This window comes from Homo sapiens, chromosome 21 (assembly GCF_000001405.40).
Source record: "Homo sapiens chromosome 21, GRCh38.p14 Primary Assembly".
Taxonomy (NCBI): Eukaryota; Metazoa; Chordata; class Mammalia; order Primates; family Hominidae; genus Homo; species Homo sapiens.
In genome coordinates, this window is record NC_000021.9 from 44,544,189 (window position 1) to 44,557,580 (window position 13,392).

The 13,392-nt window shown below is 49.3% G+C and overlaps 2 protein-coding genes across 4 annotated transcripts in view, besides 3 other annotated features; both read right to left on the bottom strand.

The window, feature by feature from the left end:
• The window catches only part of TSPEAR (thrombospondin type laminin G domain and EAR repeats), a 213,680-nt gene that overhangs the window by 46,296 nt on the left and 153,992 nt on the right, over positions 1-13,392 (bottom strand). The window lies entirely within an intron of this gene.
• Positions 4,838-5,132: an enhancer, noted in NCBI's record as "tiled region #850; HepG2 Activating non-DNase unmatched - State 23:Low". NCBI's record gives its function as "activates a minimal TATA promoter and a strong SV40 promoter by Sharpr-MPRA in HepG2 cells {active_cell/tissue: HepG2}" and the evidence as "EXISTENCE:reporter gene assay evidence [ECO:0000049][PMID:27701403]".
• Positions 5,898-6,447: an enhancer, noted in NCBI's record as "H3K27ac-H3K4me1 hESC enhancer chr21:45969969-45970518 (GRCh37/hg19 assembly coordinates)". NCBI's record gives its function as "activates a minimal SCP1, AML or CMV promoter by ChIP-STARR-seq in naive H9 embryonic stem cells {active_cell/tissue: H9 hESC(naive)}" and the evidence as "EXISTENCE:reporter gene assay evidence [ECO:0000049][PMID:30033119]".
• On the bottom strand, positions 6,169-7,317 carry KRTAP10-2 (keratin associated protein 10-2). 2 transcript variants are annotated; one of them, NR_130165.2, is made up of 2 exons: positions 7,192-7,317; positions 6,169-6,486 (listed from the first exon to the last, which is right to left on the bottom strand). NR_130165.2 is itself a non-coding variant. In NM_198693.4 (1 exon), the coding sequence occupies exon 1, from the start codon at positions 7,268-7,270 to the stop codon at positions 6,503-6,505; it is 768 nt and encodes a 255-aa protein (NP_941966.1). In that variant the 5' UTR covers positions 7,271-7,317; the 3' UTR covers positions 6,169-6,502. The 2 variants fall into 2 exon arrangements, 1 of the variants encoding a protein (NP_941966.1); NM_198693.4 differs by having other exon boundaries at positions 6,169-7,317.
• Positions 6,448-6,995: an enhancer, noted in NCBI's record as "H3K27ac-H3K4me1 hESC enhancer chr21:45970519-45971066 (GRCh37/hg19 assembly coordinates)". NCBI's record gives its function as "activates a minimal SCP1, AML or CMV promoter by ChIP-STARR-seq in naive H9 embryonic stem cells {active_cell/tissue: H9 hESC(naive)}" and the evidence as "EXISTENCE:reporter gene assay evidence [ECO:0000049][PMID:30033119]".

The window sequence follows — 13,392 nt, forward strand, 5'->3', positions numbered from 1 at the left end:
TATTTGTTCTTTAGTGAAGGGTCTATTTAAGTCATATATTATATGGCAAAATACTAAACACTGTGGGATTCTGTAGATGTGATATTATGGCAATAGTAATCATAATAAGACAAAAAAAAAATCAGTGCCTTTTAGGGGCTAGGGTGGGGATGTGGAATGACTACAAAGGGGCATGAGGGAAATTTGTGGGATGATGAGAGGAGTCTATGTATTGATGGTGTTGGTGGAGACACAACTATCTATATTTGTCAAGACACAGAATCCAAGAAAAGGAAAAGTCCCAAATATATCATACTGATTAAATGAATCTAGGATTAAAAGCCATTCTACAAAGCAAGCTATGGACCCAAAGACTTTCACCACTGAATGCTGTAAATAATTGGGAGAGAAATAATGCTAGGCTTAAATTTCTCAGCTTGTTTTATTAGGCCATCATAATTTTCCAGACCTTAGGAAGTGGGACCTGTCTAGTGAGAGCAACTGAGGAATGCTATGTGCTGCCCGGGGGGAGCCACATGGATGTTACCTGGGGACATGATGGCCTGGTGGGGGAGGAGCCAGCCACAGACCAGGAGAATGGCCAGGAACGGAGGCTAATGAGGAAGCCACTGTCATGCAGAAGCTGGAGCAGACTGATCAGCAGGGGCTGGGCCCACAGGACGTTATGCACTGATGAAAGTGAATCCATCAAGAAGATATACCAATTGTAAATATATACATATCTAATATCAGATCACCAAAGTATGTGAAACAAAAATGGACAGACATGAAGAAAGAAATAGACAGTTCTGGTTCTACAATAAGAGAGACATCAATGAGCCATTCTCTGTAATTAAAAAAAAAAAAAGAGGCCAGGCGCGGTGGCTCACGCCTGTAATCCCAGCATTTTGGGAGGCTGAGGTGGGAGGATCACAAGGTCAGGAGATCGAGACCATCCTGGCTAACATGGTGAAACCCCGTCTCTACTAAAAATACAAAAATTAGCCGGGCATGGTGGCAGCCGCCTGTAGTCCCAGCTACTTGGGAGGCTGAGGCAGGAGAATGGCGTGAACCCAGGAGGTGGAGCTTGCAGTGAGCCGATATCGTGCCACTGCACTCCAGCCTGGGTGACAGAGCAAGACTCTGTCTCAAAAAAAAAATTGATTAATTAATTAATTAAAAAAAAAAGAATTAAATTGACATTCAGTAAAGAAATAGAGGACTTGAAGAACCCCCTAAACAGGTCTAACGTAGATGCAGAAACATCCAACCCAACAAGAGTAGACAACAACACACTCTTCTCAAGTTCACATGGAACAGTTGCCATATTAGACTATACCTTAGGCCACAAAACTAGTCTTAATAATTTAAAATGATCAAACTCATAGAAACTATCTTCTCTGATTATAATGGAAAGAAACTAGAAAATAACAGAAGAAAAACTGGAATTCACAAATATGTGTATATTAAATTACACACTCTCAAACAACCAAGGAGTCAAAGGAGAAACTCAAAGAGAAGACAGAAAATACTTTGAGATGAATAAAAAAGAAAACACAGCAAACCAAAACTTATGAGATGCAGTGAAAGCAGTATGTAGAGGGAAATTGATAACTGAATGCTTACATTTTAAAAAAAAATAAAGATCTCAAATCATTAATCTAACTTTATATCTTAAGGAACTAGAAAAAGAGGAGCAAACTGAATCCAAATTTAGCAGAAGGTAGAAAATAAAGACTAGAGCACAGAAAAATGGAATAGAAAGTAGAAAACCAGTAGAATCAATGAACCCCAAAGTTGGTTCTTTAAGAAGAGCAACAGATTTGACAAATCTTTATCTGTCTAGATCTTTATCTAGACAAATATTTATCTAGATTAAAAGATGACAGATTCAAATAATTAAAATCGTAAATGAAAATGGGAATATCACTACTGACCTTACATTAATAAAAAGGATTATAAGGAATACTATGAAAATTTGTACACCAACAAATTAGATAACTAATATGTAATGGAAGAATTCTTATAAACACACAAACTACCGACATGGCTACCTTTCCTTCATATGGCTCCAGGTTACTGTCTAGTGCCCTTTTATTTCAGCCTGAATTAGCATTTCTTGTAAGGCAAGTCTATTGGCAATGAGCTTTTTCAGGTTTTATTTACCTTGAAATGAATCACTTTCTCTTCAGAGTCTCGCTCTGTTGCCCAGGCTGGAGTGCAGTGGTGCGATCTCTGCTCACTGCAAGCTCCGCCTCCCAGGTTCCCACCATTCTCCTGCCTCAGCCTCCTGAGTAGCTGGGACTACAGGCTCCCGCCACCAGGCCCGGCTAATTTTTTGTATTTTGATTGGAGTTTCACCATGTTAGCCAGGATGGTCTCAATCTCCTGACCTCGTGATCCACCTGCCTTGGCCTCCCAAAGTGCTGGGATTACAGGCATGAGCCACTGCGCCCGGCCCCTCTTTCATTTTTGAAGGATAATTTTGTCAGATGCTGATGCCTTTTTGGTTGTTGGTTTCCCCTGCCGCTGTACCCCAAGCCAGCATGTGAAATATGTCATCCCAATGCCTCTGGCCTCCATGGTTTCTGATGAGAAATTCGCTGTTAGTCTTCTGTCCAGCAGCTTTCTAGATTCTGTTTTGACTTTTGAGAATTTGATTACACTGTGTTTTTGTGTGATTCTCTTTGAGTTTATTCTACTTGGGGTTCACTGAGTGGCTTGAATGTGTAGATTGGTATGTCTTCTCAATTTGGGAAGTTTTGGCCATTATTTCTTCAATTATTTTTTCTGCTCCCCCTGTCTCCCCTCCATCTGGAAATCCAGTTAAGTGTGTTGGTATGCTTGATGGTGTCCCACAGGTCTTCTAAGATTTGTGCATTTTTCTCCATTCTCACATCTACTCCCCTTTGTCTCAGCTACTCCTCAGACTAGAGTATATTAATTCGTCTGTCTTTATGTTCACTAATTCTTCCACCTGATAAAATCTGCTGTTGAAACCCTATCATGAATTATTTATTTCAGTTGTTGTAATTTTCAATTCCAGATTTTCTGTTTGGTTTCTTTTTAAAGTTCCTATCTCTTTATTGATATTCTCTATTTGGTGAGGCATCATTCTCCTGGTTTATCTTAATTCTTTGTCTGTGATTTTATTTAGTTTTTTGAACATGTTTAAGAGAGCTGATCGAAAGGCTTTATCTAGTAAGTCCAATTCTGGGCTTCCTCAGGAAGATTTTCCATTAATTGCTTTCCCCCCATGAGTAGCTCATATTTCTTCCCACTTTGTCTGGTGAAAACCAGACAGTGACTATTACAATGGGATATTTCTGGGTATCAGGTTCTCCTCCCTCTGTGCAGTTTGCTGTTGCTGATTGTTGTGGATTGTGGTTGTTTTTGCTTGTTTATGTCAAGTTAAAAAATAGTTTCTTCATCATGTGTGCTCACTTTCTATTAGCTTGGTGCTAAGACAGTAATTTGACAGAGAGTTCCTTAAACGCCTGGAATCAAAAAATTGTTTTTCTTCAGGGTTTGTAGCTGGGCTCTGTGTATTGGTCCACACCCCCCAGCACTCGGCTGGGGAGTTTGCGACTCTGCCTTCCCCTTCACTTCCTGCTTGCATCTTCACTTCCTGCTTGCACCTTTACTTCCTGCTTGCACCTTCCCTTCCTGCTTGCTCAGAGCCTGAAGTTCAGCCAGAGGTGAGCACTGAGAGCTTCTCAGGTCTTTTCTGAGCTGGTGCCCCATCATGGGCATGCGTGGGGGCCTTCTGGACTCCCAAGAGTAAGTGGGATCTCCCACCTCCCTTATTCCTCAAAGCATGTCATCTTCCAGCTTTTCCTCCCAGGCTTTTTGGGCATGCCCAATGTTTTCTGGCTGATACCTTTGGCCCCAGGTGGCATTGACTGTTTAATGTTCTGACAAAGCCTCAGTGTAGCTGCTCTCTGCCTTGAGTCTGATTTGGTGAAATAAGGCAAGCCCTGTGTGTTAGTCCTTCAGGGAGCCACCAGATGGGTAGAAACAGACAACTGCACTGCCTTGCAAACAAGGTCCCCTCTGCTTCCCTGGCAACAGCATCCCACATCAGAAACTCGGGCTGCTGCCTTCCTGACTGTCACCCAGCTGGGGAGTGGGGGATGGGGCAAGGGGGAGTTAAAATCCACAAGGTTGTCCTATTGGGTTGTGCTGCTTTTTCTTGATTATGTGTTCCCTTGACTGCTGCAAACCTTCAAGTATTTTCCAGAGTTCAGATAAAATTGAACTCCACCCCCTTTGTTGGGGTGGGTGGGTGGACGGCAGGTGGGGATGGGAAGGTCTTGGGGAAGTGATGGCGGAGGAAGCCCAGGACAGTGTGGGACCACGTCCAAACCAGAGGGTGGGAGAACACGTGAACACGTGAACATGAGTGCAGATGGAGCCAGTTTCAAACAGGATTGAACAAATCCGAGAGTAGACTCCTAGAAATACAACTGCAGAGCCAGGGGACGCTGGCCGGGGACGGTGGGTTTGTTTATTTGGGTTTTGCCAGTTTCTGATGTTCCGTGGAGGGACAGGCCCTCACAGTTCCCCGCTGCACCATTTCCTCTGACGTCGGTATTCACAGGCACAATTAGGGACCATCTTTGGAGGGCATTTCTCAGTATCTCTAAGAATTTTAAATCCATGAACACTCTGCACCAGCAATGCCACTTTTAGGAATTTAGGCAAAAATGTACCTGAGTGTGGAAAGGTATATGGTAGAAACACCCACAGAGGTGTTAGAGATAGAACTCAGAGTCGTAAGGAAAACGAGCGCTTAGACAAAGGACTTTTTAGCAAAGCAAATTTATCTTTGCGCAGAGAAGTGCCTCTCACGTGGCCGGTTGCCACGAGAGCACACAGAACAAAGGAGAGTGAAAGTTTTTATTTTTGACGCAAATCCTGCCCCTGTGCCCTTTTTTAACTGGCTGGGGTCGGACCACACAATCTAAGCTAGACCCGATTGGCTAAACATTTAGGGGAAGGGGTCGTCTGCGGCGAGCTAGAGAGTCAGTCTTTTCTCAAATAAGGAAAGGAATGTGAGCTGGTGCTGTGGCATGCCTGGGCGTGTAGGAAAAGCAGAAGGAAAGAAGAAGAAAGACATGGGGAGGGGTACTGGGAATGAAACACTAAAGGACTGATCAGGCTGTTTGAAGAGAAACCTTGCCATATCTCACAAGAGGTATCGTTTGTAATAATGAACAACTGGAGAGACAGTCAGGGCCATCCACCTGGCGTTGCAGACACCAAGTGCGGCGTGTCCACACTTTGGAACGCTGTACACCTTGCTGAAGAAAACCATGAGAAAATAGTTTTTAAAATCAACCCGGACAAAAAAAAGAATAATGTGTGCCCCCCGCATTGTGATTGTATAGCTGTGGAGAAGTAAAGACTCAGGGCCTCTTGCGGGCAACGTGGTGACGGTCATACCTCGCCAGCATCCCTTGCCTGCATTTGCATTTCTAGGAGTCTATTCTCAGATTTGCTCAATCCTGTTTGAAACCACATCTGGCTACATCTGGACCTGTGCGTCCACGTGTTTCTCTCGCCCTCTGGTCTGCATGTGTCCCCATGCTGTCCTGCACTTCCTCTGCCATTGGGGCCTTGCTGTTCCCACCGGCCCTCCGCCCACCCAGCCCAGCACACGGAGCTCTGGAGGCCGCGTCTCTGTTCTCTGCTCTGCATCCCAGCTGTAAGCCTGGTGCAGGAACAGAGGGCGCCCCTGAGCGTATGTGAGTGTGCGCAGGAGGCCAGGATGCCCAAGCTGTCCCTGAGTGGAACTCCCTGAGCGCAGGGACAGCTGGAGCCCAAGTCTCCCGCCGTGTCCCACCTCCCAGCACAGCTGGGGCCTGCCACCCCCCGGGACAGCCCCAACCCTTGCCATGGGAAGGAGCTGCTTCTACCCACAGTGCGTGGGGCGTTGGCCTGAGTCATGTGGTGTCTGTGGGACTCAGCCAATGAACAAGGCTTTTGGGCCCCACAGGACCTGGGAGGGGAGCCGGACAGCAGAACGTGCCACGAGGTGGACAGGAGCTTCCAGGTGTCACACAAGAGCCCCCCGGGGCCCCCAGCTGGGGAAGTAAAGAGATCCACGGGGCCCAGCCCCCCAGAGCCAGGCCAGGCCCCACTCTGCCCCCTCCCGCCCTGGGTGCGGAGAGTCAGCACGGAGTCAGCTGGGGCCGCAGACGCTTTATTGGTGCTCAGAGGCAGAGGGTGACGCTCCTGGGGGTGAGACCCAGGTCAGGAGGGCCCATCCCCAACCAGCGACCAGCGACCAGCGGAGGGTTGTGGTCTGCAGCCAGGAAGCACCGTGAGGAGAAGCCAGGGCTCGCCCGCCCGGCGGGAGGTCAGAGAGGAGCCAGTGAGCATCTGAGACCCCGGGGCTGGGCGGCTGTGGCTGGGGCTGCTCCTTCTGTGCTGAGCTGTGCTGAGGCTGGGTGGGCTGGGAGGTCCAAGGACTGGCAGGGAGGTGGGGCCTGAGCCCGGCTGGCCCTGGGGGACATGGCCATCAGCAGCTAGACTTTTGGCCTGAGGAAAAGCTGCAGGAGGCTGGGCGGGAGCACACGGGGCGGCAGAGGAGGGACACAGAGGAGGAGGGTCTGCAGCAGGAGGAGGTGCAGCAAGCTGGCTGGCAGCTAGACTGCTGGCAGCACGGAGAGGAAGCCCCAGAGCAAACAGGTACACAGCAGATGGACTTGCAGCAGACAGGCTTGCAGCAGACGGACACACAGCAGGACTGCTGACACGGGGAGGAGGTGCAGCAAGCCGGCTGGCAGCTAGACTGCTGGCAGCATGAAGAGGATGACTCAGAGCAGGTGGGCACGCAGCACACAGCTTTGCAGCAGACAGGCACACGGCAGGACTGCTGGCAGGAGGAAGAGGCACAGCAAGCTGGCTGGCAGCTAGACTGCTGGCAGCATGAAGAAGCCCCACAGCAGACGGGCACACAGCACACAGGCTTGCAGCAGACGGGCACGCAGCAGGCCTGCTGGCAGGGGGAGGAGGTGCAGCAAGCCGGCTGGCAGCTAGACTGCTGGCAGCACGAGGGCGTGCAGGAGCTGGTGCAGCCTGATTGGCAGGCGCTGGGCTCACAGGCCGCCTGGCAGCAGGGGCTGGACACACAGCTCACTGGGGTGCAGACCAGGGTCAGGCAGGGGGCTGGGGCACAGCAGCTGGGGGTGCCGCAGGGGAGCTCACAGCAGCTCTCTGGGCAGTCGTCCACCTGCCAGGAGTTGGTGCAGGCGCTGGAGCAGATGGACATGGTGGAGGCGGCCATGCTGGAGTGGGGAGGAGGTGAGCTGGGGGAGGTGTGTGAGTGAGTGAGTGTGTGTGTGAGTGTGTGAGTGAGTGTGTGTGTGAGCCTGTTGGCTGCTGGGGCTTTTATATGCCCAGGGCCTGTGTTTTCCCAGCAGGAGACTCAGCAACGCCCTCCACTTCCGTGTTGGTGTTTGGAGCCGGGAGGACCCTCATTATTTCTGCTTCCTTTGCCATGACTTGTCCTCACTCTGCTCCTAACACTCGGCTGGTCCTGGGCAGGACCGGCGCCCCTGGCTGAGCCTGTCCCCCGGGAACACCAGGAGGGAAGGTGTGGCCTCTCTGGGGCTGACCTGGTGACTTCCACCTGGCAGGTCCCGTGACTGTGCCCAGCGTGAGCTCTGGGCCCGGGGGAGGCCCAGCCTCTGTCTGCAGGGACCTCACAGGGTGGGCTGGCGTGGCTGTGATTGGGAGAGCCAGGATGGAGGTGCCTGTGTTGGGAAAAGACGCTTGAGGACAGCGCTTCCTGGCGGGCTCTGGGATCTTCTGAGATCCTGATGTCTGCCAAGAGCAGGAGGACAGGGAGGACCTCCCCTCCTCTGAGAAGGAGATGGAATGTTCTGGCAAGGCCTCTGGACAGTCAGCTCATTAGGAGGACAAGGTTTGGGGACTGGCCTTTGGGTCTGGACTGTTGTCCCCTGGAGCCCTGGTCAGGTGTCCTGAGAGTGGTGGGTGCAGATCCAGGCCTGGGGGTGGGGAGGGGCCTCTGCCTTGAGGAGGTGGATGTGGAATGAGGGTCACTGGAGAGTGAAGGACACTTGGGGTGGGCAAAGCCAGCCTGTGCTTGGGAGGTCATCAGGCAGGACAGGCCCTGACCCCGGGGCAGGGACCGTCACAGGTGAGCTCCTCTGTCTTGGGGCCTGAGCCCAGCATGGCCTGAAGCTGGTTCTCACCAGGAACCAGCAACATCTCCCAGTGTCCTTCCAGCCTCTTTCAGCTGGGGATGAGGCTACGGCAGCCTGGGACGGGCTTTCATGGTGGCCCAGAAAGCCTATAGCGCTAGGGAGGCTCACTGGAAGCTCTCCTGTCATAGCGTAGCAGGAGGTGAGCAGGCCCCTGGTCACCAGAACCTTTCTCTGTTGTCCTACAGGGCCAGTCAAAGCAGCAAGCCGAGAAATAGAAATGAGACGTGAACCTCTGTTATTCGCAGGTGACACAATTGTCCACCTAAAGATCTGAGTCACTGCCATTGTGACTGTCACTGGCCATGTGCACCGGCTGGACGTGGGATAAACTCACAGCCCCCAACAGCCCCTCCCTGCACACCTGCCTCGCCATTGTGATGGAAATTCCATCTGAACCTGGGGCCTCCAGCACGTGCCAGTCACTCCGCCCTCCATGGCTGTTGTCAAACAAGCCCCTCCGACCTCTCAGGGGTGATGTCTGTGAAGACTCAGCTCCCGACAAGAGCCTCTCATCTGAAGACGCAGGGCAGTCAGCACTGGGAGCCAGGGTGAGAGCCGAAGGGAAGCCGAGGCAGCGGCGTTCCCTAATGGAGTATGAGGGGGAGGGTCCCACAGACCTGGAGCTGCAAATTATAGCATGTGACTGTAGTGACAGCTTCGGTGATCTTAGAAAATGACCCCCTAGTAGCACTGATGATGAAGCTGGTGAGGTCGGAGCATGTGGCTGCGCCAGGGAGCATTCCAAGCACTTGGCATCTATTAATTCACTGAATTTCGGCATTAACTTCTTGTCGAAGTTACTATGGACAGACGCGGAAGCTTCAGCAGAGAGGTTGAGCAATCTGCTCAAAGCCACACAGAAAACAGTGACAGAACCAGGACTAGAAGCCAGCCGGTCTGTACATAGGATCTACATTCTCAACCAGTGAGTCTCCGATTCTAAAAATAAAAAATGTTGAAGATGAAAGACAGCAAGTCTTCAATACCAAATTTAATACCAAACAGCTGGATTAAAAATTCACATCAGAAGCAGAAGAGCAAAACTAATACCACAGAGAATCAATTCAATTTTAAGTCCAAACATGAGTTCTTCCAAACGCCGAGGTAAAGGATAAAATTCACAAATATAATGAGAGAAAAGATAACAAACAGAGTGTATATTTAGCTGAGACAAAACCTGAAAATTCAATTGCTAGGGAGAAAAAAAAATAAGATCAAAGTAATAAAGAAATAATTGAGGATCAGGTATTCTGGGCTGAATGGACAGAGGTGTGTGTATTTGGAGTAGAAGAACTTAATGAATTTCAAGAAAATCAGGCCACCTAGACATGCATTGACGAGTTTTTCAATGTAGAAGACCTAAGAACAGGCCTCTCACAGGCAAGACGAATAATACACGATCTGGAAATGAACTGCCTCAGGCTGACCTCAGACCCCTGTCCCACTAACCAGGGTATGGCAATATCCTCAGGGCTTCCAGGGCAATCTTTGGTGGACTAAGGCTCTAATTTTCCTTTTTTCAAATTATTACATCTTTCTCAAATAAAGATAACAGCGATGTATTTTCACAAAAGCAAGAGCTTAGAAAGTACTCCACCCAGGTATCCCTCTTGGAAAAAATGCTTAAGGAAATATGACAAATGGCAAAGTGATTGTTATGGATGGAATGTTTGTATCCTCCCAAAATTCACATGTTGAGACCCTAATTCCAATATGATGGTATTAAGAGGTGGGGCCTTTGGGAGGTAATTAGGTCAGGAGGGTGGAGCCCTCAAAAATGGGATTTGTGCCCTTTAAAGAAGAAACCGTGGAGAGATTATCTGGGCCACGTGAGGACAGCAAGAAGGTGGCTGTCTGTAGACCAGGAAGAGAGCCCTCTCCAGAGCACCACCATGTGGCACCCTGACTGATCCTGGACTTCCAGCTTCCAGAACTGGGAGAAAGAAATGCCTGCTGCTCAAGACCCTCCAGTCCACGGCAATTTGTTATAGCAGCCCCAACTGACTGTGACAGAGAAGAAGCAAAGACAAGAGTTCCAGAACGTAGAAGCTGGGGTATCAAAGGGCTGGCCCAGATACAAAGACAGGAAGACACTGACCTAGGTCCAGATAACCAATGTGCTCAGTTATAACTGCAAATGCAAATTTCACATATTTTATAACAGATGCATACAACAGATGCATATTCTACATCCTAATTGAATGGCAGTGATAATATTCTAATACTTTACTGCATGCTAGTGTGAGAGGCCGCTAACCACACGTGGCTCTTGAGTGCTTGAAATGTGGCTCATGCCAGTTGTGGAAATGGTAACATTCTGGATGTACCGGGTTAAATAAGATCTATTGTTAAATTAATTGCACCTGTTCCTTCTGCCATCTTTAAATGTGGCTGTTATAATATTTAGGATTGTATGTGCGGTTCTGTTTCTACTGGAATATGCTGTATGTTGTTTTCAATCAAACAAGAAAGACTGAGAAGCGGGTGGGGGTGGAACCGTGGGCTGATGTTGAGGAGAGCAAGATTAATTCTGTTTTAAATAGAAATTCTCGAATTGCGGTTCCATTCCTCACTTTAATAGTTAAAAAATAAGCATAAAGGTAAACTTAAAAGCTATTTATTGGTACAATTAAAAACAGAATGTATATTTTTCAAAACAGCAAATAAAAGTAGAAGAGAAAAAACAAACCGTGGTGGATATCCTAAAGACGGAAAAGCAACCGAAACAGGCGGAAACCTCAAAAGCAGAGAAGACCATGAAAACGTGAGGAGGAGCAAAACAGCCAGTTGGAAAGGAAAGGAAATTGCTCCTGATGTTTCCTATTAGATGAGAACATTTCTCAAAACGGTTTATAAAATAAAAACCGAAATAAGGTAACTAATGTCACCATTAAACAGTAACGGGAGGGAAAAGAGACGTCTCCCAGGTCCGACGGCTGCCGGGGCCCACACAGAGCCTCCTCTCCCATCCTCCCCAAGGGGTGACGGCACACAGCCTAGAAATGGGGACTCCCGCACTAGCAGGGCCCCCACATCCCACAGGATGAGCCAAAGGGAGGGCAGCCTGGCTCAGGACTCCCTGAAGATGCAGAAGCCGTGTTCCCTTACAGAGTCCCACCCAGTGGGGAGACGTGGGCACTTGGCTAGGCCAGCTGGCCAAGGGCTGTGGGAGATGGGCGGTGAAGGGCACCAGGATCTGGGAGCCCTAGTGTGAGAAGTCCCCTCCCAGTCCTTATGTGGTGAGTCCCCCACCCCGGCCACACACACATCCCACCCCCCTTCACAAGCAGGGTAGAGGCTGCACACACACAGTCATGGGGCTCAGGGCAAGGCAGCCTTGCTCTGGGCTACTGATCAGACCCAGGACAGAGAGGTCTGGGGACAGCCCTTCCTGCCATGCCTGCTCCCCTTGTCCTGGTGGCTGGGCTGGGAGCTTGCAAAGGAAAATGACAGTGACAAGGGGCCTGTGTCCTTCTGTCCTGGAAGCCTGTGACACTCGGACAGGGACTTCCAACTGTGTATTGCATTTGCACAGACATGCCATCGAAACTGCAAAGGAGTAAATGACTGCTGGGACAAGTTAATAGATACAGCGGTTCAAAGGAAAAGACCTACTCAAGAATTAAGGAATCCTTGTGAACAACAGGGGAAGGTTACAGAAAATTTCCAGTTATTCTTAAGAATTAAGAAGTCGTGCCGGGCACGGTGGCTCACGCTTGTAATCCCAGCGCTTTGGGAGGCCAAGGCAGGCAGATCGCGATGTCAGGAGTTCAAGACCAGCCTGGCCAATGTGGTGAAACCCAGTCTCTACTAAAAATACAAAAATTAGCCAGGTGTGGTGGTGCACACCTGTAGTCCTAGCTATTCAGGAGGCTGAGGGAGAAGAATAGCTTGAACCCGGGAGGCAGAAGTTGTACTGAGCGGAGATTGCTCCACTGCACTCTAGCCTGGCAACAGAGTGATACCCGCTCTCAAAAAAAAATAACAACAACAAAAAAAAAAACCAAAAGACCGGGTGCAGTGGCTCATGCCTGTAATCCCAGCACTTTGGGAGGCCGAGGCGGGTGGATCATAAGGTCAGAAGTTCAAGACCAGCCTGGCCAAGATGGTGAAACCCCGTCTTTACTAAAAATACAAAAAAATTAGCTGGGCATGGTGGCCTGCGCCTGTAATCCCAGCTACTCAGGAGGAGAGGCAGGAGAATCCCTTGAATCTGGGAGGTGGAGGTTGCAGTGAGCCGAGATCGCACCACTGCACTCCAGTCTGGGCAACAGAGCCAGACTCCGCCTAAAAAATAATAGAAGTTGCTCCAGGGATTCCAGTTCTGGAAACCTGTTGATGAGATTGTTTGACCCATCATCCTGCTGAAAACAATTGAAAACACTAGGAAGAATCTTCCTAGTTGCAACAGGAAACTGGAAAAGGAATAAAGAATTACAGGATTACAGGCCCAAATCAAAGACAGGGGTCTTTGCCCTTTTTGCACAAGGGAACTTCCCGGCCACCTCGTGAAAGCTTTGGAGGTTTTCAGATAAGTAAAAGGAAACCAACTTCATGAAAACACTGCTGTTACACTATGAAAAAGTGAACTGGTGAGATAGCATGTACTTCCCTAGGGAGCATGTGCCTGGTGGGACCCAGCAGGTGCATCTCGCGCTACCATAATTATGAAACAGCAGTGGCCAGAATGAGGTTTTGAGCATTTGCGGCCGGCATAATGTGACGCCACGCATCTCATTCCTGTTGGTGACAAAGCTGCAGGTGCTGCCATAGGTTTTGTCGGCTACATGAGAGGGTTCCTCACATAAGGCAAAAGAAAACACACCTGTCTTAGAGGCCTCAAAAATGCCCACAAATACTTTCCAAGGACAAAGGTGGTTACTCAGCTGCAAACAGTGAAGCACACAAGGAAACGACACCATGAGCGAGAACTGGTGGAAATGACAGAAAGCTGAAATGGACCCACAGAGACTTCAGGCATTGGGATGACCGTGCACAGATATTTGAAATAAGAGATCAGCTCTAAAATGTCTTCCAGGAATGAGAAATATTTATTTTATTTAATAAGAGAGGGCTGGTGAGAAGATGATGAGTGGGGGTCAGACAGGCAGAGGAAGGAGAGAGGGGGAGGAGCTGAGCCCAGGGAGAGGCCGGGCCGGGTGGGTGTGGGGGATTCACA